Genomic DNA, 18,458 nt, shown 5'->3' with positions numbered 1-18,458 from the left:
TGAGACAGCTGCCAAGGTATCTTGGCTTTGGCAGCTCTTCATTAATTGCTAACTCATGACAAAGAATGGACCTGTCTGATCCAAGTATGCCCAGTAAATCTTCAATACTCTTTTGGGATAACTGCTGATGAAACTTATTTAGGTCTTGCAGGTGACCATTAGGAGCTTATATTGTGCTATGTGTTTTAGGAATATTCTGCTTCATTCTTTTGAATTTCAGAAACTCACATTCAGTAAAGGTATGATATAATATCTGAGGTGTATGTTATTTTTAAAAAATTCACTGTAATTTGTAAAGGAAGCACCTCCAGTACCCATTCATTATACCCCTCGGTAGCACTAATCAGAAAGGTGAAGCCGATATGCAGATTGCCTCAGAAAATGTTTATTGTAAGATACTGCTTAAGACACATTATGGTTGTTCCATGTATACATATGTAACAAACCTGCATGTTGTGCACATGTACCCTAGAACTTAAAGTATAATAAAAAAATCAGTTATCTTTTCAAAAAAAGAAACATCTGTTAATTACATGATAACTTCAGCATTAAATTGAATTTATAGAAGCTCTTTCTAAACTACCAATTTTTAATTTCCCTTAACGTTCTGTTATTTAAAAAAGAAAAAGACACGTTAGGGTTGCTCAAGGATATTTCTCAAAGATGCATTTCCCATGACAATATATTATAAGACTTTATATTGACCTAGTAGGTTTTGAACTTGTTACCTGAGTAGAACTAGCTGTATAACTCTTTGCCAAAGTGTAAGTCTGAGAATTACAACTAACTTTATACATTTTATTAGATTTTTAAAAGGTAGAGACCTACTAAGGAGACCATAAAACTGAGTTCCTCCATTTGCCTTGAAGATTTCTGCCGCCATATTGAATTCTTATTGCTGTGCTCAAGTTCCTAAAAGGAAAGCTACCGAAAATTCGTCAGGAAATTAGAACAAAATAGATTGAAGGAGGAAAATTTATTCCAACAATGATGAAACAGAATATTTTCTCCAAATGAGCTCTGCTGCCTCTCATGATTCTTTCAATCATCAGAGAGCCCCAAATACATGCCAAGCACTGTGGCGTGTTCTGGGGTTGTAAAAATAAACAATATATAGTTCATGCCCTCAAGGAATGGACAAACTCTTTTGTAAATATCTAACTATATAGAGTATAGGACAAGATGAAATAAATGCTAGTGGAGAGAGAGGAAGAGGACAGTAACTGTTGGCCACAACTCATCCTCGGAGGCAGCTTCTAACATGGAGTGCCGTGTGCTCCCTGATGAACTGCTTTTAAAATTCACTTTTCGACTGGAGGGGGTTAGGAGTGAGCCTTGTTTGCCGACCAGGGTTGAGAGATGTATAATGTATAATGAAACTCATTTAATGAGGCTCTCTGAAAGCAGAGGTGCCTTGACTAGAGGAAACTTCCATTTGTCTAGTCATCATTGTGGTTTGCTCATAAGTAAAGGGCTTTGTTGTAAACACATTGTTTTTCCAAAGGGCTTCTTTGATAACAGAAGGGGATTGCAATTCTCCCTGTAGGCCAAAAGAGGGCACTTGGAGCTCTCTGAATAGCTGTTACAGCTGCATCAGAGCAGGGCATTTGGCTCAGATTGTAGGGATGTTTTCCTACTCCCATAGAATAGATCTGATTAAAATATGGTTTTGGAACCTGGAAGGAATGTTGAAGACACAGTTTGTTAGGCTCTGACTTTGGCCTTTTGAAATTGAAGACAGGCGTTTATTTAGGTGTATTTAATATTAGAGAATCATAATCTTATTCCCTGTGTATTTGTAGAGTAGTGATATATTAATATCAAGAGGAGCTGCTGTCTTCATGACTGCAGAAAAAGACTAATATTTATATTCACTCTGAAAACTTACCTTTGTAGACTCTTTGCCAAAGGTCTGTTCAGTGGTGATTTGTTTGGACGTTTGAATATGGAAGACTTCCCTCCTTCCTTTCATTTCTCTTCAAAGTCCTCCATTCTCAGTGTAGAATGTTGAATTGTTTTGAGGTCTATAGGACTATGGCAGCTCGTAAAGTTCTGAGGATGGGGCCATTAAACTTGAAAATACATCCTGAAGGTTGGTTTGTGGAGCTTGTATAAACAAGACTGGCCAACTTTGCACAGTTGTGAGAATTAGCCGGATTCTTGTTTTGCCTTTAAGAGCAATCCTGCCTAGAGGCCAGGATGATCTAGGAGATCTCTTGAGGTAAGATCAAGGACTCTGTGAGAATTTCCATTAATCCTTTAAAAACAAAATAATGAACTGGCCAGAGCATGGATGTGAACTAGGATTCACAAGTTTTAGCCTTCATGCAAAATGGACTGAGTTGCAGAGTGACCTGAGAATCTCATCTTTCTGAACTTTAGTTGTCTCCCAATTAGATGGATAAAATAGAGTTGCTCTTATTCATTTGGTCTTTTCTAATAGGATTAATTTTCACAGGGGCATTAGTGTAAAAGCAATGCTAGGGTATGGGTCACTTTTTGTTTATTTGTTTGTTTTTTTTTATCTCTATCCCTGGCGCCAAACAGTCTCTGGGTCATAGTAGTAAGCTAACAAATATTTTTTGAATGAATAATGGAAATGAAAAGGACAAAGTGATTTTTAAGACGCAACTCTTTACTGTTTGGTGCTCTATTGACTAAATTTTTCCAATAAAGTGATGATAATGATACCAAACATGTAGATAGTGCTTAAGAAGCTCACAAAGCACTTTTATGTATATTATCTCAGTTGTATCCTCAGATCTATAATTGAGGAAACTGGAGTTCTAAAATCTTAAATGGATTTTTGAGGTCATATATAAGTAGGGTGACTATATAATTTGTTGTTCAATGGGGATAGTTTTGAGAGTGAGTGAGAACACCATTAGTAAACATGCCAGTTCAACAGCACAAGCTGGGACTGTTCTGAGAAAATCAGAGTGTATGGTCATCCTATTAATAAGCAACAAAGTGAGAACTTGTCTCTGGGTCTCCTGACTCTGTTCATTACTCTATAGTGTCTCACGGGGTGCGATGTCTGCATCTTCCCATTGTTAAAGATCATAATAAATGATGATCGTGAAGCCTTGCAAGATCCTGTGGTGTCATATGAATCTTTGCGAAACAGAATTGTATTCAACATAGTACGGGTGTTCAGTATATTTTTCTGGTTTTTGCTTTCTGATTGCTTAGAAATGGGCAAACTATAGAAGACTGAAATATTTGATTAACTTAAGTACCCAATCCCCTTATTGTGCTAAATAATAGATTCTTGTATGCTTATACATATTTACATTAATATTTTATATATGCTAGAGTGTAATATTCTTCTCACTTTAAGATTGAGGTAGATATACTAATTTGTCCAATATAACCAGTCTGCCAGCATTATTAAGACTCAACTCTCAGCCCCTATTAACACACAGCCCTACAAACTTTGTGGGAAAAGTAAGATGCTCCTTACCTTACTTTCATGGGTAGATATCTAAGGGTATGAACATACCATCACATTTGCACATTTTTAACTGAATTTTTGTATTTCCTGGCCTCAGTCCTCTTGTTAATGCATATCTATCCCTCACATATTTGGTTTATATGTGGAATCTAACATATTTTGTACCTTCATTAGAATGGTGGAGGTGTGGAGAGGCTCCCACATCTGTAATAAAAACGGCAATTTAGAAGCCAGAGTAAAGTCACTCAGAACAGGATGCCTGGATGTGTGTTATGTTGTGGAGATGTTCTTAGTAAAATACTACAATGTCCATAGGCTCCTGTATTCTCCCTATCATTCAGGCTGCTAACCTATTTCTTGGAGTCTTCCTTTTCCTTTTTACCTCATTTCCAATTATTAATTGCTGTCTGAAATTAGTTAGAATAAATCAGGTTATGCTATGGTAACAACCTAAACTTTTCCATGGCTTCCAACTGCAAATGTTTATTTTTTTGTATGTCCATCATGGGTTGACTGCTCCATGTGGTTGCTGTGGGACCCAGGCTGAGGCATATTCCTTGTGGATACGGGGTGAATTTCGTGGAACAGTGAAAGGAGAAATGGCCAACCACACCCTGGCTCTGAAAGATTTGTCTTGGAAGTGACCCATATTACTGCTTACCTATCGATGTCTCAAGCAAGTTATGTGGTCAAGCATGATGTCCACGAGGTCAAGGGATCAGGGCACAAAGAGGAAAAGTGGACTATTCGATGAAAAAGTAATGCAATTTAGACTTAGCTGAAATATTTTGTTGGGATCACATCTCTCTTCAGAGGACGATTGGAATTTTCACTTCTTATCCTTTATCAATTAGTATTTGACTTCACAAAAATAGTTTGAGGTTAAAAAGATTCCCATCTTACTAAGATTTCTGTGCTATTTTGCATGTCTCTTCTCCAACCAATATTTTCTTATCACATACTAGGGGCAAATAATCAAGTTAAAGTACTAGTCCTACCTTAAGGAAAATTACAATGGTTTAAAAACTCGTAAATTTAGGTAGCTATACAAACATATATATGTTCGTAATTCCACACTCTAGAGAACTTCTTCCCACTGGGTTCACCAGATAGTTTTGATTTTGGATTCTAGGTTTTTGTATTATGCAGGAATACTCATTAAACAAAAAAGTCACATTACATTTCCTTATTCCAAGGGGGTGTTATTTTGTTAACATTGTCTCATTATAACATGGTATCTTGAAGTTTTTTCTTTACCTTTGTCAGCTCCCATACAAATTTTCCCAGAATAGGGGCAGTTAGGTGTCTGCCTAGTGCCTCAGTCTTATACTTCTTTTGGAAAAGGCAGAAACTGGGTTTGTAAACTCTCCTTTTTTTCACTTGATGGTGAAGTTTGCTGAGGTGCGGGTGAGCAAGAAACTGCCTTGGCATGCTATGAAAACTCTTGGAGATGCCACATGCATGAGTGTCCATGGAACTTGTTGGAGGATGTGTCCTTCTGGGTTCTACGCATCACTGGCCAGGAAACCACTAGCTGGCCACTGCATGGTCTGGGCAAGAAAAAAAACAAAAACAAACAAAAAAACAGAACCAGGAAGAAAAGCCCCCTGGTCTTGTCCTTCCAGCGTCCTCTACGCAAAGCCTAGCTTTGTGTCATTTGGCAAGGAGAAAGTTTACAAGATCCAGCTCTCCCGTGACAATGCTGAGCAAAGAAATATTATGTATTAGGAAGTGAGAAGCAGTAAGTTGATAACTAGCACAGTAACTCTGTAATTTGCTCCCTAAACCAGAAAGCAAAAGGTACAGTTGTTAATATTTATATGGAGCCATTAAGTGTACACTAGAACTGTCTTGGGAGAAACTAGAGACATAGAACCGCCCTATGTGGGAGCCAAGTCTTGAGGAGTGAATAGAACCTGGGTGTGGGGAAAATGAGAATCAGTAAGGAACACTACTGGTAGAGGCAAGGAAGAGTACAGGTGAAGAAATGGGTGCTGGAGGTATGGAGCAGATAAGTTTGGTGTGCGGTATGAGAGAGAAGTACAGGCATCCTCAACTTAGGATGGTTCAACTTGTGATTGTTTGACTACGATGGTGCAAAAGTGATGCGTGTTCAGTAGAAACCATACTTCAAGTAACAATACAACCATTCCGTTTTTCACTTTCAGCACAGTATTCAATAAATTACATAAGATATTCAACGTTTTATTATAGAGTAGGCCTTGTGCCAAATGATTCACCCGCTACCAGCTAATGTAAGTGTTCTGAGCACGTTTAAGGTAGACAGGGCTAAGCTATGATGTTTGGTAGATTAAGTGTATTGAATACATTTTTGACTTGACATTTTCAACGTACAATGGGTTTATTGGGGTATAGCCTCATCGTAAGTTGAGGAGAATCTGTAAGTATAAAGATGAAATCGTAGTAATTTTTTCAGTAATGTTTTGCATAAAAGGATTAACAGATCTATCTTATTATCTTAATATCAAATCTCATAAATTTGGAGTTATTTCTTACAAGAGTGTGCATTCCTCTTTCCATGAGTCCCATCTTCAGGACTTGAAGTGCCTTCATCAAACATTTATTGTGCTGTGTGACATACTGAGAATTTGCTGCCTTCTGTAGGCCTACAGTTCAGTTGTTGAGAAAAGTGTGCTTGGTTGGATCTCTTGAAAACAGATGGAGAAAACAGAGGAGAATTTGTTCTTTGTAAATCTTTGGTTGTGGTTTTATTTTTAGTTTGTAAAACTTATATATCTAGATAAGAGAAAATTTAAAAAAAGTTGAAAGCTCACCTTCCTGTAATATATGGTATGATTTATACCAAAAGGAAGTCTATGTAGGTTATTCTTCAGGTGTTTGCGTGTATGTATGGGTGAGAGAGAGAATAAGATTAGAATACCCTTAGCTTACATTCTAGGAACATATAATTTCTAGAGCTAAAGGAGGTAATTTTTTCCAGCTTCTTTCATCACCTAAATTCAGCCCCCAGTAATCAGCTTTCTTACAAGAAGCCTGTTACCAAGGTTCTTTACATAGATGGTGAAGAAACAGAGGCCCAAACTCATGGGAAGTAGTTTGCTCAATCCGCCAGCTAATTTGTGGTGGAGGCAGGATTTCTGCTTTTCCGGTCACATCCTTTCTTTCCGACCAGGGTTTCTTTCTTCTCTCTAAGCCCAGGGAGGCATACTTATCAGAACTTCAGTAACTGAATTTCACATGTAAGTGCAATTGATTTTAGCCAAAAGGCCGAGAAGCGATACGTGTAAGTGAAAATGAGCCCCTGAGATAGGCCTCCGGACATCTGCTGTCTAGATAAAGGGATGCTGGATTCAATTGCTATGTTTCTGGGCACAGACCCCACAGAATAATCGTTCCTTCTTTTCAGTGCTCTCTGTTAATCTACTTTTGTTCCTTTCCTTTCTTTCACAACTCCCCCAAATCTCAATTATTTCCCTCTCCTCTGTAGAAGTTTTACAGGTTTAGAGACCAGGGAGTGTGTTCCTTTGGAAGGCAAGGGTCATACTCCAGACACTAATAGGTCCCCGTCTTGTGTCACTTCTCTAGCCATGAGTCTCCACACTGGTCCATCCGCTCTAGAGTATTTCCTGATCCTCTAGTCCCTAGGGTTCCCAGTGTAACCCTGACATCTGGTAAACCATGTTAGAAAAGCTTTTTCTGGAATTTCTGTACATCTTATACATTCCAGATAATAAATGAAAAGTATTTGGGAAAAAAATGAGAAATGAACAATTCTCAAAAGTTTATTTTAGATTGATTTATTGGCTGACCTCTCTGTACCTTTCTAACAAAATTGCTATTAAAAACAGGCCCATCTATTCCAATTCACCATATGTGACCCCATTAAATTCATGGTCAGCTTTCCATTGTATGGAACTCTATAGAGATTTGCAGCCATATTTCCAGCATTTAATTTCCCCAATAAGAGCCAATGACTTTAATGATAAATGAAAATGAGGGAAAACACTTTTTAAAATTTCCATTTCATAAATTATTATAAAATGTTTGAAAATAACTTGATCAAAATCAACCTGTAGATAATTGTGAAATATTTATCCATTTTTCTACCTGTCCCATGTTTTTTGGGGTAGTATCCAACCAGAAAGAGCAAAGGTTGTGGTTTATTTATTTATTTACTTATTGATTTAGTCTTTGTCTCTGACATTAGTCATTGCTTCCTGTGGGTAGTCATTACTTCCTGCACTAAACATTAAATGAATGAAACATTTATGAAATCTTAGGACTGGATAGTTATTCCCAGTTTTGTAAATCCATGTTTCCTGAACTTTTAAAATAAATTCATAAAAATTTGCAAGGCAGTTTTATTAACTGGGAAAATTTCAACAAAATATACAAGAATGTTTAAGGAAAAATAATCTGGTTTGAACTAATAGCTGTGTGATCTTGTCAGAAAGTCTTACTTTGTCGATAGCGCGGAAAACTATAAATAAAGTGGCATCTCCAAAATTTTGAAAAGAGTCACACCACTCTTTCCTTCTGCCTGATTTTAAAATATGTGATAAAGTCAGAGAATTGGAAAAACCTCTCTTCCCATACCCTGTCTGGCTAATTCAGACCAACTGGGAAAAATCACATGATGGACAACACATCAAAAATTCAGGCTAAAAAACTGCCAAATCTATGAATAGCGATATGGGAACCAGCCCAAGGCTTGTGTGTAGAAGGGTGACAGATAAAAATAGTGCCCTAAATTTTTCAAAGGTGATTTGAAACCTCCCAAGTATAGATGACCTTGCTACTGAAAATAAGATGACAAGGGCAAAGTTGAAATTGTGACCCCTTTCAGGGGTCTATAGACTTAAACTAATGTTCAAGAGAGAAGGGCTGCTTCCCCCTGCGCCCTCCCCCCCCATCAGCAAGCTTCACACAGCCATGGAACATTTCTTTTTCTTTGACGAATTCTTAATATATTTATCCTTCTCTTCTGCTCCTTTTAAGAAAAGAAGGCAGCAGCCCAGGATCATGAGTTTTCAAAGCATTCCATTTTCTGTTCCCTCCTGTTCATGAAAGCAACGTCCAGAAGACAAGAGGTAGGTTCAGCATCAAAATAAAATAACAACAACAAAAAAATTCTCCCACGATAAACCATTTCTTCTCTTTTTTGCTGGACATTCTTCATTCATTCATACCTCTGTCTCTACACTGTGCCTGATGTCAGCAGAGATGTGCCTTGCAGCTGCTTCAATAGAAAAGTTTTCAAAGCTCACTGCTCCCCACATCAGTTAGATACAAAGATAAAGTCCACACCACATTTTATTATTTGGTGTTTTCAGAATGGCAGAGAGTGCAGGAGGAAGTGGTGGTGTTTTTCAGTGCCCATTTCTAAAGTTCTTTGCATGTCTTCCATGCCCTGCTGTTGATTAAAATATCTTCACGTGTCTCTAAGGTTCTCGAAGCTGGATGGGGAGCGTTTGGTGACAGTGTGGAAAACCATTAGTGAGATTTCTTTTGGTGACAGACAGATGTAAATGTATCCATCTAATTCTTTACTCTCAGGTCTCTGTCTGCAGATGGATGTTAATAATTAGCAGTTGCATCTCCTCCCTCTTTATTAAATTGGATTCTCCATAAATTCATCATTTCTTTTTTATTTTCTCAAAGTAGCAGCAGCCCTGACAGCCTCCCTTTGTTCTTGTGCTATAAATAATTTATAACACAGAAGTATCTCTTCTTAGTCTTAAAACATAAACTAATGGAATAACACAACATATTGGCCCAAACTACCTTCCACTTGGAGGAAAAGCAACCTCGGAGTGGGGGAGAGATGAAGAGCTTTATTCCTAACAAAGGGAAACCAAAGATCACGTGGAAAAAAACATTTCTTCACCTGAATGTAGGTTTTTTGTTTTGTTTTGTTTTAATCCTGCTCTTCCTTTCTAGAGTCTAGCAATGTAAGGGAGTTCTAGACAGCACAAGCAAATCTTCTTTTGTGATTTCTTTTCCAAATAGTGTACCTTGCTCAAATTTCCAAATACATAATATATTACATTAAGCTATACAGAAAGGAGACTATTATTCCATCAAAATCTCCACAGATGTTAAAAACATACCATGGTACATTTATTCAACAACTGTATGCTCATAACCCATGCACAATCTTTAAACACCAAATTACAGGGATTTGGTCCAAATTAGCAATAAAATACAATGTGTTTGCCCTCTACTGGGTAGTAATGACTGTGTAGTTTTCCTTGCATACCCAGTGGCCTTGTAGGCAGCTTCATAATGGTTTTATTTAGTCACTAACACAGTGTTATAAACAAATATGGCTAAGATTTGTGTTAATTAAGGTAAATAGAACAATGTTGAATCAGTTTTTCTAAGCTAAGATCATCCATGGAGGGGTTTTAAAATTTTTCTTACATTGCTCTACGCTTGCACATCACATCACAGGAGATAGCTTGTAAGTCATCATTTGATATCCTGGAAATATATTCAGGTTGTAGATAAATAACCCGCCTAACAATGCTAATGCAGAATATCTGGCATGTAATTTAGATAGGAATCTGAACACCTCCTTACATCAGCTGTTAAGATTTTGCACTGAAGCAGAAATAACGTCTTATCTTCCATCTGGAACTGGGACATAGAAGGGGTGACACAAGTTATTTACAGAGTTACTGCAAAACAAGAGCAGTAACAGAGTAACTACAAAGCAACTCCCTGGATTACCGCTGCAATATAATGCCAGATAAATAATCATGCCAGGGTAAATAAATTGGGAGATGCCTTATTTTATAGAGCATAAATGTAACTCTCATTCCTATTGGCGTGGAGTGTTCCTTCGCATGTTGATTTCCGAAGCATCTTTCCAAGTCCGAGCTGACCCTGCAGAGTATTAAAGTGTGCATAAAACACTCATGCCATTTCTACTTCTCAGGAGGTTGGAGGAGGAAGCCACATCCACTGCTGGGGATGGAGCCTCCATATAGTCCAGAAAGACAGTCTGAAAGACAAATATACCTTTAGATTTAAACCGATGGAATGAAGAGACTGGGTTAGACTGGAGAGGAATCTGGCTGGCTTTCCAGGTCAGGTCCTCTCTCATGGTCTCAATTGTCTTGCTCTTGGCAAATGATTTATTTTTCTCTTAAAAATAGGGTGGGATTAATATCTTGACTTGGGGCTTTGGAATGTTTTCTCCCCACAAATAGTGGCCAGTCAGCATTATTGGTTGGAGTGATTCCAGCATGAAGCATTAAGTGTGCCTGTGTGTGTGTTGTGTATGTGTGTGTGTGTTTGTCATGGTACTGGAGGACGACAAAATAATTACTAACTTGTACACAGCCTAACAATTAAGAAGAAATAAAATCCTTTCTTTGGCTTAAAAACATTCTACATAAGTACTGCAGCTCCTCCCCTTCCCACTGGCCCACTCACAGGATCTTTCTGGGCTCTGCCTGTATCTCTAGGGTCTTTCTGGGGTAGGAATGTAGCAACAAATCTCAGAGAAAAAATTTTTTATTTAAAGCACAGAATGTGAAGTGCTCTAGTGTCTACTTTTTTGCTGTTGTTGGAAATTGACATAAGTTACTTGACAGCGTGTATGTATGTGGGGGTGGGCGTGAGGAGAGAGGTAGGGAAGCAGGACCAGAACACTGCCTCCTTTGGTGTAGAGGTTTCACATGAGGAAATCATGGCATTGACTTCAAAAGAAGACAATTTGCTGCCACTGAAAGAATGAAATGGAGAAAGAAGAAAATTCCCCAGAACTTAATTAATAGCTAATATTCAATTTAATAATGGTCTGGTGTGATCAGAGCATCTTCTAAAATTCTGGAATTTTCTTAACTGCCTACTGTGTCATAACACATAAGGCAGGGCATTTGTTTCTCCATTCAGGTCCTTGCCATCTTGCTAATTCTGTACTTGGCTAAATGGCTGAAGATGTTTTGGTTTGTAAGGCAATTCTTGCTCCCAGCTGCATTAAACTGCTATTATTAATTACCTCCTTTGGCCTAACATTATGCCTTTATAACACATGAGTTGTCAGGCCCTCTGCGATTATTGGAAGGCTGTGCCATACACAAAGGCATTAAGCTTAAAACAATAGAGGCTGCTTATTTGATAGGAGAAGATGTCAGGTGGAGACTAGCACAGTTGGCTGGAACTGACTTGAAGCTCGTCATAAGGAAATAAGGGGTGAGGTGATCACAGCACAGCATTAACAGCATGTGAGAGACACACAATTCTACATGGCAGCTTCCATCATGCATTTCCCACGCAAGAAGGGGGGAAATGGGCTCTGAGTAAATGATGGGTGAATACAGAATCAATTGTCATGTATGACAAGACACTTTCTCTCTTTGTTTAATATATAAATCAAGAGCACTTATGAATTGATATTAATTAAAATAATGTATGTGCTTTCTTTCAACAGTAACATCAGCCTTGTTAAAAACGGAACGCTAAATCTTCATTAGACTTTCAGTATTAAAAATCTTGCATGAAATATGAATTAACATCTAACTTGTTGCTAGCTAGATTAAAGGGGAGAGAATGCAATAGGCACTTAGCACTGTGGACAAAAGCAGAAGCAGCTTTCCCAAACCTGGGAATAAGTGAATATCCTGAGGCTGCCTGCATCATTGTCCATCACTACCTCCTAGCAGGAATGATTGCTAACCAGGTGAAATTATGGAATGCTATTGCTTCCATCGAATCAAGATCATATCAAAAGGCAAATGCGTAGCGAGTCAACAAATCAACAAAATGCCCAAACATAAAAATTTAGCTCTTAAAAGTGCTTAGAGTTCTGTCTATAGATGTGGAGACATGAGTAAAATGTTCTTTGTTTTAGAAGAAAGCACATACACATTTCACTGCTTCACAATCTTTTCCACACATAGAAAAATTATGAAAAGCTCAAAGTGTTGTTACTTAGCTTTGTTGGATATTGGAAGTCAGTGACTACTTGCCAGGGAACAGGTGTGTGAAACACTTTTGTTCATTCTCTTCACATAGATGGATATTTGATGTCTTCTGATCTCGTTGCATTGGTGGCCTGAAATTAAAATAGATAATTGGAATGACCAGGCTGAGACCTCATATTGCATCCAAAAATACATTATGAAACTTCAATGATCTTATTGGCATTGTGTTGTCTTAGGTGAAAGCCACTCATAAACATACTTGCTTATAAAGTACACCATCGATCTTATAATTACATTCCACCTGGATTTCTACGTTTGGAAAATGTGATTGAATTTTAGACGTCTCCGGGGGTAGTGTGTACGTGCACAGCAAAACCACAAGGTGGTGGTATGGTGTCATCGTATTTTTTAAGAACAACAAGAAAAGGGGGTTTGTTTAATGAGCTTGCACTCACAAGCCTGCTCATCTAGTGAACTGTGACTTTTCAAATACCAACCTATTAATGTCAAAGGCAATACTGAAGGGAACAGTTCTGTTTGATTTAAAAAATACAGACAATGTGAAGTCCACTATGGCCTAGTATCTATCACCTATGGGGCTCCATTCATGCCTAATGCTTTATTCAAGTAAGACCTAGTTTTTATATATCAGATTAATACATATCTACAGCTTTGCACCTTTCTCGTTTGATTTTTTTATCATCAGGGCTCACCGGGGCCATTTTCATTCCCTTACTATAGCATCTGCAAGCAGGTGGATTAGAGATAACTCTCATTGTGCTTTGTTTTCCTCCCGACACTGTCATTAATCATTCCTTAAGCCACACTTCAACTTCTAGTAATCAGGACTGGCTGCTCCTGAGCTGCACAAGAATTGCCTCTCACAGTGTAATATGGAATTGGAAGCGAATGGCTAAGGCCAGACGCCTCTTCTGCATTCCCCATCTATCTCATCATTTAGGTATTTATCCATCTAGGGCTTGTACGGAGAGCACCTCTCTCCTTCCCATGAGGACACAGATTGCAACAGAGGATCAGATTTGTTACCCAGGCTTTGGGCTTTGATTGTCCTCTTATAAGTTCGGGATTAAAGTGAAATTTCCCACAGGGCTATGCAGGATTTGCTAGCATTTAACTGTTTAACCTGGCTGTTTGTGAATGAGAATCCTGTGGTCAACTATTCCGTAGAGAATATTATGGTAAGCTGAGCCTGAATGGTACACATTCCGGTGTGTTCCTGTAAAGATGGGCGCAGTTGATTCCAATTAACTTCATGTCTGATATTGGCTGTTTTCATGTACACAGACAGCAGGGATACTAAGGTAAAAAGAAAGTCAAAGCATTCCCTTTTATAAAATATGGATGTGGGCTTTAAATAAATGCAAATCTTCTCCCTCAAAATTGTGATTTCCGCTTATGGTTTTTACACTAATTGGAGAATTAATCAGTCTTGCATTGGGTTGTTTTCTATTTTATGTAATTTTTTCATGTTCTCTAATGTGTTTATCAATTTCAATCTAAAGAGGATTTGATTCCTTATTCAACATACCTTTGAATATGACCAAAACAGAAACAGAGTTATGAATTTATTTACATTTATTATTTTCATAATGAAAAATATGTACTTAGAATGTCTTAGCTTATATGTAGAAGTTAAACAGACACAATTTCCTGATTCTTTGTTATTTCTGAAGAGAAAGGTTTTTCTAATGTGTTCCTTATTCCCAAAACCAGAGCAATGAGAAATTGGGGGAAGAACTGTTCAAAAATCAAGTCTATATTGTCTGTCTGTTTGTTTAGATTTGGATTTACTTGAAGGATTTGAAAAAGTCAAAATCATTCTGCTACCTAGTTTTCAGGGTTGTGTACCCATCCACTGTAGTTATTCTATTTAATGTGAATATGTTTTTTAAAATGCCTAAACAGACAGTGTTCATTTTATGTGTTTCATCAAAAGAAACAGAACAATGAGGCAACAGAAATATAGAATTTAGCAAACCATTTTAAGCTTATGGTGAAATCTGTCTTTTGCAAGAGAAGCAACCAAATCATTAAAACATTTTATTCTTCCCCAAATCCTCCATTATATTTCTTAACCTTAATTTTGTGATGCCAACAAGTAAACAAAAATAGCTTTAAAAAACTACACTTAAAATTTTTAAAAATATTGGTCACGACAGATTGAAACATTTAAAAAATTATTTCAAGCATTTCACTGGAAATTCTTTTGCAATGGCTAGCGTAGGTGGCAGATTGATCATTTTGGGGGAGGCAAGGAATAGGAAGTGAGGAGGTTACAGTGATCTCTAGACTAATTTATTTGTTTTGCTGCATTGAAGTCAGATACCCTCTTATTAGGGAGCAGCTTTCAAAGCAGTCAGGAAGGACACCGATCTTGAGCTTGGTGAGAGCTTTGCTTGGGGTTACAAAACAAGCACACGGCAGGGTCAGTGCTAAATATCTTTAACCCCGTTAAGGAGGCAACTGAATTAGGGCTGTGGGGGAAAAAGTCCCTCCCCCCTGAAATGCAAGAGAAATCTCCAGATTCACATGAGTAACTTTCAGCTGGGTATTATGCTCCTGAAGTAACCTCTTCATTCCCATTGTTTTAGTGTGAAATCATTTCCTCAGGAGATAATTAGAGTTGCTCCATTTATTACATTAAATGATTAGCATGCACTTGAAATGATCCAGTGTATTTTCCTTTATTGCTGATGACTCTTAAATATGGGCCTCCATTCTTAACGGATAAATTAAAGTTGTCTTGGCTCTTTGTAACCGACTATGTAGCCAAACAAGAGAGACTTTCTTTTCCAAACATAGGCCAGGTGTGCTGTGGCTGAGGTCTAGGTCTGAAGAGATCCTATTCATATAGATGTCCCACCTGGTTCAACAAAGAGCTTGATAACATTGCTTAAAGGTTTTCTCTACTAGCCCCTTAATAAAAATGCTTTTAATGACAGTACTTTATCTGGCATTACTCATCCTATGTGTGGAGTAAGTAAGTTTAACATAAAGTGACCCAAGATCACATTTCAAAAAACTGCCTCACTGGAAAGGCATGCACATTATCTGAGTAAGCAATATGCCCTACAAAGCCATGGAAAAATGATATTTTAAGAATTACCAAATATAGATTTCATTTGGATGCAAGTGCTTTTCGCTGTCTTTGAACTAACCTGGTTGTGTAACTGACAGAGTCATCTAAAATCCACTGGAAAGTTCGGATCAAGCAGGCACTGCCTGGTAAATAGGCACCATTGCATATGTAATTAGAGAAATGAGAGATAAACTGGGTGCATCTTATATTTGGTTTATATATTGAGATTTACAAGAAATAATAAATGGAATTTAAGTGTTATGTTTGTTAAAAAATTTAAATCGGTATTTAGGTATGAGATGTAAACATGCACAGATGTAAAGACAAACTATGATGAAGACCTACCAGTTTCACATTCGTCTACTCTAAATGTGTGAGTATCTCTCATAAATTTCATTGTTAAGAGAGAATTTTACTTGAAGAGAAGAGTTTTAAAGAACATAATTGAAAAAATTTCCTGCAAACTTCCAATAGTTTTATATATTTTTGAGGATGAGGAGAAATTTTTCTGCCACCTAGACACGATGATTCAAAACTCTGTCATTTTGCTGTCATTGATTTGTTTATGTATTTGTTGTGTTCTAATAGCATTGTTATTTTCAAGAAAACACCGTGAGATGCTGTGGGAAGTTTCTGGTTCATGGCAATAACTGGAGAACGAAAAAGGAAAAGTGGAACAGACCGGGGGATGGGGGTGAAGTCAAGACTGTGCACTGACATTGTGGCCACAGTGATCCTTTCGTGAACAGGGTCGGGGGGCTGTTTTCATTCTCACACTCGGGTTTCTCAGGTATAGAGAATAGAGAATAAGTTACCAGAAATCAGGTATTTCTTTAGCAAGTGAGAAGAGGAATTTAATACTTCTCTCATATAATGCATTCACTGCTTCTCTCTGATAATTCATATCCCAGGAATGTTCACATAAATTCTCTGTAAACAGTAGCTAGCATTTTACCACCACAGAGCCAAATAAAAAACACCCATGGAAAAGTTATTTGTATCAGAACTATGATCTTCAGAAAGGAGGCCTGTCAATATTAATTGGAGGAGAATTTATTTTAGACCTAAAATGCTAGGATAGCAGCAATAATAACAACAACAAAAGACTTTTTTTGTTGTGCTTTGTTTTCTTGAGGGCAATCTTCACTCTCAAGCAATCTGAGCAACTGTGCAGAATTTCTTTCTGAAAGTTATTTAAAATATAATAAATTATAAATTATAAATTGTTATGCTCTGGTTAAATATTTAAATGACTTAAAAATTTTTGCATTTTCCTATTCACTTTAGCAGACAAGCATTTTCCATATTTAGTCTTTTATATGATAGCAAAATGCTGCGGGGCTCTGGCTGAGACACAGTAACTTTGGGAAAAACCCGATTTCTGAAGACCCAAGGTGTAATAACATTCTCTCAGCAACATCTCACATTGTCTTCCTGTTCGTGTTTACTCAGATGAGGCATACCATTGCAGAGGAGGAGAGAGGTTTCTAGATCATCTGGTCACATTTTAGATCAATAGCGACTCAGGTCCATAGACAGGACAGGATTCATCTGGACACACATGGTGGTCATGCCAGGACTTCTACCCAGTCCTCTAACTCTCCGTCTGGTGCTCCTTCTGCTACCATGGTAATACAGACTACAACAGAGAAATACCCAAAATGTCTTCTCCAGCCTCCAGCCTCTAGTTGGAAATGTTATTTACACATGGGAAATTCAGAGCATTCCAGTATGATTAGGTATGATCCTTATTGATGAATATTGCCACCAAATATGATTTTAATTCTATGCAACACAGATTTTATTTCAATTGCTTTAAGTGGATAATGGTCAAATTGTATTACCTTTCAGCTAGCCACACCAAAGAATCTTTGGGAGATGGCAAATTCAATTAATATAAAGGCATTGGCAATCTATTTATAGGAAGTCTATCTTTAATTTCTTTAAGAACTTCTGAGAGCACTGTCAAACCATGGCATTTGGAATTGGAGGAGATGTATTATCCAAAGAGTGCTATAATGTTGTTTAGCTTTGACAGGAGAATTCTCAGGGAAAGGATGCTTGAAAGTCTTCATCAGTGTCCTTTTGGAGAAATGATCTATCTGCAAATGATGGAGATGGAGGATAGGCTTAAATTGCACTTCTTTTCATAACTCTGTGAATTTCTTTTTAGTGTATGTCCCCTTTTCAAAAGATGAAGTTATAACAGTTCTAATACTTGTGGCATGGAAGGTTACAATGACTGAATACCATCTCTCTCAAACATTTATTCCATTTAAACAAAAATACCTGATAGAGAGCATTTCCATTATTCAAAAGAAATCACACAATATAATGGTTTCTAGCACTCCTTTTGTAATAGCTTATTTAAATATTTGGGGCTGCAATTCAAATTTCTACTTTGTCAGACTTCACAGAAATACTTTATTCCACTGATTACATTTTTATTCTTTATGTTACTCTAAATAGCCTTTGATTTCTTAGAGCACCAGAAGTAAAAATCAGGTTTGCAGTCATGCGAAACACAAAATTCCTCTTCATGCATTTACTTTTTGTAAAAACAAAACCAAAAAACAAACAAACAAACAAAAAAAGGTAATACATACAAAAACAAAAGAATAAAAAGCTTTCCTACCATTAATTTAACAAAAATTTAGATATAGTATATTAAAGAACAACTATGTTCTGTGGATTATTTTGTATTTTAGACACTTAAATTTTATACAAATGAAGTTTTCTTTAGGTGGAGATCTTGTTTCTGCCAACAGCCTATTGTGATGTTAGACATTTATGGAGACAACCAAAACCCCCAGTTGATGTTTTTAGTGATTACATCAAATTAAAGATAACCCCACCCCAAAAAGCAAATCTCATAAATAAACATGAATTCACAAAATCTGGCTGAAGTCTTAACTTCTAATAAGCTTGCATTTTAGGCAGTGTTTTAAGTTTAAAGAAGAATGACTGTAGCCAGTGTGGCTGACACATC

Source organism: Homo sapiens, chromosome 15 (genome assembly GCF_000001405.40).
Source record: "Homo sapiens chromosome 15, GRCh38.p14 Primary Assembly".
NCBI lineage: Eukaryota > Metazoa > Chordata > Mammalia > Primates > Hominidae > Homo > Homo sapiens.
Note: the sequence above shows the minus strand (reverse complement) of the source record.